At 35.6% G+C, this 12,024-nt stretch overlaps 1 protein-coding gene across 6 annotated transcripts in view; it reads right to left on the bottom strand.

Moving 5' to 3' along the window:
* HDAC9 (histone deacetylase 9) overlaps nt 1–12,024 on the bottom strand; it is a 915,592-nt gene that overhangs the window by 117,173 nt on the left and 786,395 nt on the right. For all 6 annotated transcript variants that reach the window (NM_001321868.2, NM_178425.4, NM_001321877.2 and 3 more), the window contains one exon: nt 10,648–10,766. In NM_001321868.2, coding sequence (NP_001308797.1) covers nt 10,648–10,766 — 119 coding nt within the window. The remainder of the gene's footprint in view (nt 1–10,647; nt 10,767–12,024) is intronic.

Here is a 12,024-nt window from a genome sequence, read left to right as displayed (position 1 = left end):
TTGGGTGGCATTCCTGGGATAATTCTGATGGCCCAGGCCAGAATTATGATGTTTTCTGCTGGACGACCAGGCTGTGCTTTCACCCTTACGACCACATTGCCCTCCGCAGTCCTTGATAACTTAAGCAGAATGTTTCGAGCAGAAAGTCATCTTTTCTATTTAAATTGTAATTCCCAACGTATTGCTTGAAAACACCTCAAAATGGTATTTTACATATCTACTGCATGACTTTTGACCTGCTTTTCCCCTAAAGTTTGGATTAAACTTGAAGAATATCAGTATACAGAACCACCCTTTCTGCCAGTTTTAACTGGAACCGAAGAGGTGTGATATACAGAGTATTAAACAGTAAAGAGAGGAGGAGAGATTTGTTGTGTGGGTGTGTGCATGTGTATTGAGAAACAGGGATGTGGACTGAAGTTTGAGGAATAGGTAAGGAAGGTCGAAGGCATTCTTTCCTTATTTTCCTGCCTCCCTTCATGTTTTCAAGTGCTACATACTAAAGAAGAAACAGAAGCCCCAACTGACTAAAAACATCAGCCTAAGGTAACTTTAACACACATGCAGAGGGAGACTTGTAAAAGGATGTTCACTTCAACATTGTTTATAATAGTAACTATAGCCATAAATCTTTTCTATGTTTTCTTCTATTAATGTTACAATTTCAGGTCTTACACATAAATCTTTGCTCCATTTTGAGTTGATTTTTTTTACATGGTATAAGACGAGGGTCTAATTTCATTCCTCTGCATTTGGATATCTAGTTTTCCCAGCACCAATTATCAAAGACTGTCTTTTCCTCATGGAGTGTTCTCGCCATCGTTGTCAAAGATCAATTGACCATGGTGTATGGATTTATTTCTGGGTCCTCTATTCTGTTCCATTGGTCTATGTGTCTGTTTTTATGCCACTGTCATGCTTTTATGATTGCTACAGTTTCACAGTAGCTGTTAACATTGGAAAGTATGGTACCTCCAGCTTTGTGTTTTTTGATCAAGATTGCTTAGGCTATTCAGGGTCTTTTGTGGTTCCACACAAATTTTTGGGTTGATTCTGCTATTTCTGTGAAAAATGTCATTGGGAATTTGACAGAGATTGAATTGAATCTGAAGATAGCTTTGGGCACTATGTAAACTTTAACAATGTTCATTCTTCCAATTTAGGAACAGGGGATATCTCTCCATTTACTTACATCTTCTTCAATATTTTTCATCAACATTTTATAGTTTTCAGTTTGGAGATCTTTCACCTCCTTGGTTAAATGTATTCCTAAGGTTTTTGCATTTTTTCCTTTTTGTAGCTATTGTACATGGGATTATTTTCTTCATCATTTTTCAGATAGGTCATTGTTAGTATACAGAAATGCTATTGATTTTTGTATGTTAATATTATATTCTGCAAGTTTACTGTATTTAATTATTGGTTTTATCAGGTTTTTTTTGCTGGAACCTTTTGGATTTTCAATATATAAAATCATGTCATTTGGAAACAGAGACAGTTTAACTTCTCCCTTTCCAATTTGGATGCCCTTCATTTCTTTTTCTTGTCTAATTTCTCTGGATAGAACTTCTGTTAGTATGCTGAATAGAAGTGGCGAGAGTGAGCATCCTTATCTTGTTCCTGACCTTAGGAAAAAAACTTTTATTTTTTCACCATTGAGTATGATGTATTTATAGCCTTATCATATATGGCTTTTATTTTGTTGAGGTACATTCCTTCCATACCTAATTTGTTGGGAGTTTTTATTATAAAAGGACATTGAATTTGTCAAATGCCTTTTCTGCATCTATTGAAGTGATCATATAGTTTTTGTCCTTCATACTGTTAATCAGGTATAACACATTTGTGGATTTGCCTATGTTGAATCATCTTTGCATCCCATAGATAAATCCCACTTGATCATGGTGAATGAACCTTTTAATGTGTTTTTGAATTTGATTTGGTAGTATTTTGTTGAGACGTTTTTTTCTGACTCTCAAGTGTGTTTCAGATAGTTAACTGTCAGTTAACTAAAATTGTAGTCAATTGCTAAAAAAGCATCACTGGACTATTTATTCTGCATTGGCATATTCATAATGTTAAGAGCAGAACATACCTCAATGTATCATAACAAAATGCACAGTTTTTAGGCAAGCAATGACTGAGGTATCCTCATCACAAAATAATAATGCTTTATTTTCTTTTAAAAACATTACCACTTTTTCAATTGTCTCTGGATTTATTATAAAGTAGGAATACAAACAGATATAGAAATGTGAAATGCAGGCACTTATTTTGCTAAACTGGCTTTTAATTAAATGGACAATACACTTACTATTTACCTAAAATCCTGCATTGCTTCCAAAGATGTCTGCCCATCCTCCTTCCATTTTCTTCAAACAGGAGTCTGAAACACCTTCAAAAAAGCTACAGAATTTGTGTTGTATATTTTGTGCTCAAATATATCATCTAAACACCCAGACTTTCACTGAATATTTAGAATTGTTGAAATGATATGAACAATAAAATTCAAAACTATTAATTCACAACCTAATCATTTATTACATAGGTTGTAGGTAAAATTATTATCTCCCTTCCCCACCCACTTTTTTTTTTTTTGGCTGATTAGGAAACTAACTTGATTACAAAATTAGTGAGAAACATATTTGAGATCCGAACAAATATTTTCCAATACCAAAATTAGCTATTGTTTACTCTCCTTTAATTCTTACTGTTTATTTCCAGTTTAATAATTAAAGGACCCTATCATCTCCCATGTCCTGGTTTTCTGAGCAGAGATTAAATGAGTTTCTCACCAATTAGATTCAAGCAGGTGTTAACAGCTGGGTCTCCGCACTTTTGCCCAAGGCCCACTGTTACAAGGAGACCATGACTTCCCTGAATACAATTCCTATTAAAGGGAAATATTAAACAAGTGTCCATTGTCAGAAGCAGTTTTCAGAAAAACAAGGTTTTGTTAATTAAAATATTATAGAACACAGGAATATGTGATTCAAAACTAAGAAATGGCAGTGATGGGGAAGATAGCAATGGCAAAAAAGAAAAAAAATTATGAACTCCTATTTCAAGAAACATCGAATATAGTGGAAGAAATCATCTGACTTACTTTAAAAAAATCATGGATTCTTTTTAGCCTTACTCGTTTTTAAAAATGCTATTTAGACTATGTTCCAGGCACTTGGCCAGTTTTTGAAACACGGCACAGAAGCAGATGAAAGAGGTTAATCTGATGGTAGCTGGATAAGACAATACTTCGAAGAATTAATGCTGCATAGTATTCCCCTGTGTTCACCCTAATCTAAAAGAACTGAAGCCCTTCAAGTTTAAGGTTGACCCTTCATGAAGTGGTACCTGGTGGGTAGGTGACTTCTAGACACTCCTTTTCTCCATACATGTTTGCTGTGGCCTGAAATGCCATTATGAGAAGACAAGGCATTGAGTCCCTGATTACAGATAAGTAATAAAAGATACAACTGCTAAACAGAGCTACTACGTTCTGAATAGTTACAGAAATATTACAACCATAACATTAGGTGAAATACACTTACATTTAAAGACCATAGTCAGGTAATTAGTGAAGCATTTAAGTAAATATGATTAGGTTCTTTATAGATTTTGATAATGTGGAAAAAATTAGACACTTAGGAGAGCCATGGACATTTTAAGATAGGTATAGAGTCATTAGTAAAAAGTCATTAGTAAAAAAGAACAAGAAAAAAAGCAGTCAACTTCACCAAAACACACCTAGTTCTGGCTCAATCTATATTCAACTCTGTGGACACAAGAAATGGAAAAGTGGAGGGTATTTGAGCTACATACCCATATATGACCTTTTATTGAGTATCTGCACCTTGATAAAGAATAAATATCCATTGAGAAGAGAGGACCTTAGAATCCAAACAGATTGTAATCAAGGCTATCTAAAAAAGTTTATATGTCTCATAGATGAGGAAACTAATTTATCTTATCCTCTGTAATAACTGGAGTTAAAACTGAAGTGCTTATTCAGAACTTGTAGTTAGATAAAACTTCATGAGGCACTTGGGATAAAGCATGTACACGCATTGTTAGCAGAAGACGTAGACAACATGGCCTTGTGTATTTATCAGTTTGTTTCTTGGCATTTGTTTATCGGATTAGTACTCAAGTTTTTAGAGTCTTACTTTTGGATCATTGACTGACTAAACAAGGAATCTTTGTACTTCCCTAAGAATAACTCACTGTTAAGTCTAAATTCATTTATACAGGTATCTTCCCCCAAATTATGCTTTCTCATTGCTAAACAGGCACTCGGTGGGGGAAAGAGAATCAGAAGATACTGAAAAGAAATACAATTTTCTGTTTAAAAAAAAGATGGTAATTCAAGATGCTAAGCTTTGTTATTTGGTTCCCCCCCCCCCGGCAACTATTAACTATTCTTTTTTAAATCACTTAATTTTTTTTTTAACTTTTACATTTGGGGGTACATGTGAAGGTTTGTTACATAGGTAAATTCATGTCACAGGTTTTTATTGTACAGATTATTTCATCACTTAGGAATTAAGCCCAATAGTTATCTTTTAAGTTCTTCTTCCTCCTTCCACCCTCCTCTCTCAAGTAGACCCCAGTATCTGTTATTTCCTTCTCTGTGTTCAGAAGTTCATCATTTAGCTCCCAATTGAAAGTGAGAACACACAGTATTTGGTTTTACATTCTGGCATTAGTTTGCTGAGGATAATAGCCTCCAGCTCCATCCATGATTCCACAAAAGACATGAGCTTGTTCTTTTTTATGGCTGCATAGTATGGTGTATATGTACCACATTTTCTTTGTTCAGTCAATCATTGATGGGCACTTAAGTTGATTCCAGGTCACTGCTATTGTGAATAGTGCTGCAGTGAACATTTGCGAGCATGTGTCTTTATGGTCAAATGATTTATATTCCTCTGGGTATATGCCCAGTAATGGGATTGCTGGATCAAATGGTGGTTGTACTTTTAGCTCTTTGAGGAATTGCCACACTGCTTTCCACAATGGCTGAACTAATTTACATTCCCACCAACAGTGTCTAAGTGTTCCTTTTTCTCCGCAACCTTGCCAGCACCTGTTATTTTTTGACTTTTTCTTAATAGCCATTCTGACCTGTGTGAGATGGTATCTCATTGTGGCTTTGATCGCATTTCTCTAATGATCAGTGATATTGAGCCTTTTTTCATATGCTTGTTGGCTGCATATATGTCTTCTTTTGAAAAATGTCTGTTCATGTCCTTTCCCCACGTTTTAATGGGGTTGTTTTTCTCTTGTAAATTTGTTTAAGTTCCTTATAGATGCTGAATATTAGACCTTTGTCAGATGCATAGTTTGCAAAAATTTACTCCCATGCTGTAGGCTGTCTGTTAACCCTGTTCATAGTTTCTTTTGCTGTGCAGAGGCTATTTAGCTTAATAAGATCTCACTTGTCAATTTTTGCTTTTGTTGGGATTGCTTTTGTGTCTTTGTCATAAAATCTTTACCAATACCTATGTCCAGGACGGTATTGCCTAGGATGTCTTCTAGGGTTTTTATAGTTTTGGGTTTTATATTTAAGTCTTTAATCCATCTCGAGTTGATTTTTGTGTATGGTGTAAGGAAGGGGTCCAGCTTCAGTCTTCTGCATGTGGCTAGCGAGTTATCTCAGTACCATTTATTGAATAGGGAGTCTTCTCCCCATTGCTTGTTTCTGGCAGTTTTGTCAAAGATCAGTTAGTCATAGGTGTGTGGCCTTATTTCTGGGTTCTCTATTCTGTTCCATTAGTCTATGTGCCTGTTTTTGTACCAGTACCATGCTGTTTTGGCTACTGTAGCCTGGAAGTATAGTTTGAAGTTGGGTAACATGATGCCTCCAGCTATGCTCTTTTCGCTTAGGATTGCCTTAGCTATTTGGGCTCTTTTTTTGGTTTCATATGGATTTTAAAATAGTTTTCTTCTAGTTCTGTGAAGAATGTCATTGGTAGTTTGATAGAAATAGCATTGAATCTGTAAATTGCTTTGGGCAGTGCGGCCATTTTAATTATATTGATTCTTCCTGTCTATGACCACGGGATGATTTTCCATTTGTTTATGTTTCCTCTGATTTCTTTGAGCAGAGTTTTGTAATTCTCATTGTAGAGATGTTTCACCTCCCTGATTAGTTGTATTCCTAGGTGTTTTATTCTTTCTGTGACAGTTGTGAATGGGATTGCCTTTCTCATTTGGCTCTAGGCTTAACTGTTGTTGGTGTGTAGGAATGCTACTGACTTTTGTGCATTAATTTTGCATCTTGAAACTTTGATGAAGTTGTTTGTCAGCCAAAGGAGCTTTTGGGCCAAGACTGTGGGGTTTTCTAACTATAGAATCATGTTGTCTGCAAACAGGGAGTTTGACTTCCTCTCTTCCTATTTGGATGCCCTTTATTTCCTTCTCTTGCCTGATTGCTCTGGCTAGGATTTCTAAAGTGTGTTGAATAGGAGTGGTAGAGAGAAGGCATCTTTGTCTTATGCCAGTTTTCAAGGGGAATGCTTCCAACCTTTGCCCATTCAGTATAATGTTGGCTGTGGGTTTGGCATAGATGGGTCTTATTATTTTGAGATATGTTCCTTCAATACCTAGTTTATTTAGAGTTGTTATCAAGAAGGGGCGTTGAATTTTATCGAAAGCCTTTTCTATGTCTATTGAGATACTCATGTGTTTTTTGTCTTTAGCTCTGTTTATGTGATGAATCACATTTATTGATTTACTTGTCAAAATAACCCTTGTATATTTGCTGAGAGAAATGGTTTCTGTCTCAAGGACTATAAAATGTTTATTAAAGGAATGTATTTCACATGTTTATAAAAGGAACATACTTTTTATCAGATATGGCTATCATCTCACAATGATTTTGCATAATTCCAAAGGAAAAACATATTCTTGTTCACATGACAAAAGCAATTTGAATATATGAATTCACTGCCTGACACCAACAAAAGCAGTGAACGCATGTATGTGTTGAAAGGGAAGAAAAAATATATGTTGTGGCAAAACGAATTTAAACCAAAGAAGCTTTTTTTTAAAAAAAAATGTTAACAACACTATAAAGCCAGGGGGTGGTAGTATATGATGAATTAATTTTATTGTTTGAATACAGCACTTAGTTGTCATGGCAACCTGATTAAGCTGTAACCTGAAGACAACTATATCTGAATCAGCATATTTAGAAAGATAAACTGATAACTTCAAGGTACAGTTTGATGCTGGGTTTAGGGCAGGTTAAAAAGCTATTTAGTCATTTCGGGTTGGGATTTAGCCTTGGTCCTTAAAGAGCAGCACTGATACTAAGTAAGTAATTCAGATTGTTGATTAAAACTTCAGCAGAAACCAATGCCAAAAGTTTTGTAGTTTCATAACAGAAAACACTTAATATATAAAGAAAGGAGAGGAGAAAAGAGGAAGAAAGAAAAACATCACTAGTGAAAAGAATTACCTTTAATTTTAAATCACCTCTATATTTGGGCTGAGATATTGGTGATTACACCAACCTTTTATTATTATTTTTCAATCAGGTAACAATGTTTAAAAACAAACAAAAACCCTAGTTATTTTGACTTCATTTCTCTTTTCCTTTCAGAGATAGCAAACAAAACTATTTTAAAAGATTGACTCAATGTGCTAAGAAAATATAATTTTAGCATCTCTGACATGGATAGCATCCTCAAAACCACTCTCTGTAATTATCAAATATTCTACTTGGAGCAGGAATGAGTTTTGCTAGAATTGGAAAACACGGGGAGAAGAACTTGGTTGTGTATCTTGTTCCTACTTTTTACTTTAGAATCTAGCCCATTTCTAACTTCGTTTTGGGATCACCCTACTCCCACAATAAAGGATGACTTCCTGAACAAGACAGTGAAAGTCCAGTGTTAATTGCCTGTACAGAACTTTTCGACCAAAGCAATATGAATGCATCTGCCAGGTGGTTAGAAAGCAAACAAAGATACCAAGTGGGGAGTGTTTTAGGGAACAACTATTGAGCTATCTAGTAATCCCAGCTTCTACCCACTTGTTGGGGCAGCATCTCTAGAAAGTATAGCTGAGAAACTCAGGCTTCCATGAAATAATATATACAGTTGCCCAGATGTGAGGCTTTGTTGTGTTTCACTTAAGTATCACAAAACTAGTCAATGTCTGTCATAGACTAAGTTTGGGGGATTAAGGGTCATGGGCACTAATATGTTCTCTGTAGTGTGCATCGAAATTCTCTATTCTCAACTGGGTGTGGTGGCTCATGCTTGTAATCCCAGCACTTTGGGAGGCCAAGGCAGGTGCATCACCTGAGGTCAGGAGTTCGAGACCAGCCTGACCAACATGATGAAACCCTGTCTCTACTAAAAATACAAAATGAGCCAGGCATGGTGGCACATGCCTGTAATCCCAGCTACTAGGGAGGCTGAGGGAGGGGAACTGCTTAAACCCGGGAGGCAGAGGTTGTAGTGAGCCGAGATCATCCCACTGTGCTCCAGCCTGGACAACAAGAGTGAAACTCTGTCTTAAAAAAAAAAAAAAAATCTATTCTCATCCATTTTATGAAACATTTTCTTTTTAATGGAAAAAATACAGAAAATGCCTCATGCAATTTCACCTAACTACTGATTCAGGATAAGAACTTTGATTTTAACCCCAGTTATTTCAGATTTTAAAATAAATTAGTTTCCTCATCTATAAGATATGTGAAGAGTTTCAACTACAATCTGTTTAGACTCTAAGGACTTCTCTTCTCATTGTATATATTTTTCCTTATTAAACTGCAAATACGCAAAAGGTAAAGTATGATATCACTTAAAATATGTCTGCTTGATTTTCCTAGGAAATAGGCACCTAGCAGAGAACATATGGTTCTTGAGTAGGAAAGATACACAAGGGGTATGGAGGGACTGGGAACGAGGGGAGGGGAGTTGGAGGCATTCTAGACAAACTGATTCTGAGATGGAACACAATGAAGAGCTTCCTCTCCAATGAATAGATATATGTAAATGGGTAAAGAATATATTGAAGATGCTATTATACTCTACTAAACCTAGAAGTGGTAGAACCCACGTCTCCTATACCTAATGGCCAAAAGAAACCATGCGACTATTTTCAAGGTAACATTTGAGATTTGAACTTGACTTGGCCAAAAATGAAGACACAAGGGAACAAAATGATCAATCCCTTTAACTAGTTCTGACGAAGAGTCTTGTTACAACCTTTCCCTGTGGCAAGGAGAAAGACTAAACATAGACACTCCTCTCTTCTGAGTGAGATTCTTGGATTTAATGGCAAGGAACAACTTTTCCAGAGTTCCTTCTTTCTTCGCTAGGTATTTTGTATTTTTTTGGGTTTATCTCAACTTGATGTACAAACTCTCTTTGTCTTTGTTTATTTAGACAACTGTTTACCAGTTCTGACCCACAAGTGAGGTTTATCTGCGATGGAAAGACTGACTTCCATTGAGTTGAGTTCCATGGATAATAATAACAATTTTTTAAAAAGGCCATACAGACATTTAATCTCAGCAAACACCTCTCTATTCAATTTTACCAAAATCATGAATTATTTTGCTTTGTTTGTCTTTGTAGAGTTTCCTGTTTTAATATGTTTTTAATAGACAACAAGGCACAAAGAATCCTGGGTAAATAATACATGTTAAAAATAGTTACTACCTAACAATGTTACTAGAACAATTAGAGTGCAGAAAACTCTTTCACATGAGAAGCCAGCTAAAAACAAAGGTTGGCATGACGCTATTTCTTTGATTCTTTTTAAATTAATACAGCACATTTGCTCCAAACTCATCTCTCCCACTTAAAAGTATTTGGGTTTTTTGTTGTTGTCTGCTTTGCAATGCTCCCTAAAATACACCACTGTGGGCCCTATTCTTTGTGTAATTTTACTTTTTTCTTCTATTTTTAAATAGATACCCCTGGTGCCAATGTACATTTATATGTGAGCTATATATATATACCTTTTTTCCCACTCAGAGAGCAAGGGAATTATTTTTAAAGAAATCCTCTTTCTAGCCAGATTCCATTAGGTTGTATTATTCAAATGCACTGTAACATAAAATTTATTTCTTCATGTGGTGTCCAGTTGCTAAGGAACACAGCCAAAAAGTCCAACTTTGCAACACAACAGAAGACGAGTAGAGATTATGAGGGTTGCCCATAGACACATACAGAGGCTCTGAGCAAGGGGAATTACACTTTTGTTTTCAAACTTGGAAGTGCATAATATTATTAAGAAATAGTTATTTTTATCCCATGTACAATGGAACTTCCATTCTCCCTGGAAAAGCACAGTAGCTTTTCTAGACTCATGACCTCTCAAGTCATGCAGCATATTTTAAACAGAAGCCCTATCATTTCTGCCTTTAAATGTAAAACAGGTCTCCTGAAAAGCATACGATTTCTGAAATGTGCTGTCATGTCCACCAAACAAAGCACTTTAACTTTGTTTTTCTTAAAGGCAAATTTCTACAGAAACATGAATCCGACAGAGCAATAAACACCACCTGAATCATTTTCAAATGTCTCACCCAAGTTTACTGGACACATGTAAAAGGTGGTGTCTATCATAAAGACCTAAAAGATGGTATGATATCAGAGCCTTTCGTAAAGTCCTGAAAGAGGTACTTACATTTTGCCGTCACTTTGTACCCTCCTAGAGGAGGGGTGTGGCCTTCCAATGCATCAAATCCAGCAGATACTAAGACCATGTCTGGATCAAACTCTTTGGCCACAGGCTTCACGATGGTCCTGCACAGTAAAAATGCAACCGGTCACACGTGGGACTGGTGAATACCTTTAAAAATCGTTCAGTGAAAACGACCTGGCACAACAATAGGAACCTCCCAAGAATAAAGAAAAGGGGAATAAAAACATTATTTGAATGGGACAAAAGCGTATCATTTCCTTAATAATAAATCGCTGTTATTTTAGCATCCCAATTCAGTCTTTTTTGGTTCATCTTTTTTCCTCCAAATGGAAAAAAAAAAAAAACTGCTTTGCAGGTACATTCTAAAGCCCATCATATTACACATACGTCTGTGGCTGTTTTATCCCACTGCCTATAAAAAACTGCTTCTTCCAAGGGAGTGACTAATGTTTTACAGAGGAAAGTCAAAGCTTTAGTGAAAACCCGGCTTGCTCCAGTTAGTGAGAACTTGGTGTAAATTTGAACTATAAATTTCTTTTGGGAAAAGTTTGCTTTCCCAACTTAAAAAAAAAAAAAACATTTTTAAATATTTATCATGGTAGGGGGTGACTCTTGCAAAGGAGAAACACAAAGTTCCCTTAATAGAATCCAGACTACAATGTTAAGTGAGTCCAAAGTCAGACACACCAGGAATGTGGCAGCCTCATCCATGACAGCAACCCCTGCTGGCCCCAGTCAGACACTTCAACACTTCCCTTCTCAACTTCAGGGCTCCGAAACCCCTTTCTCATCATTGCTAGCTTTGAGAAAGAATGACTAATGAATGCAACTGGGCTTTATAAAATTTTTAACATAGGCTTGAAGACCAGTATGCCATCATAAAAATTCAAATTTCAAAAACTATTTACTGAGATGGGGAAACTGCACACTATAATGAATTTAAAAAGTAGTACAATCACTCTTGTGTGGTTGTGAGATATAACTAAAACAAATATTAAAATAGTTATCCTTCAATAATGACATAATTACTTTAATTTTTATGTTGGTAAGTTTTCCAGATTTTCTACAATGATTACGTATGAATTTTATATTTAAAAAATGTTATTGCATATCATAAACAAGAAGTTGTTGCAGTTATGCAATAAAAATATTTAGTTGAAACTTACCTAGAAATGTAAATGATTGAAATATTTTTCCTAAATGAATCCACTGTCATAAAAATTCTATCCTTCAAGTTCATAAATACACATGTAAGTGACTTCCACAGTAGTCCTTCCAACAACTGGTAAACCACATAAATCTGAATTGGCTGATCATAAAACTAAGTGAAAACCTAATTTTATTTACTATACACAATTG

This window comes from Homo sapiens, chromosome 7, assembly GCF_000001405.40.
Source record: "Homo sapiens chromosome 7, GRCh38.p14 Primary Assembly".
In the NCBI taxonomy this organism is placed as follows: Eukaryota; Metazoa; Chordata; class Mammalia; order Primates; family Hominidae; genus Homo; species Homo sapiens.
Note: the sequence above shows the minus strand (reverse complement) of the source record. Positions and strands in the feature narration are given on the sequence as shown.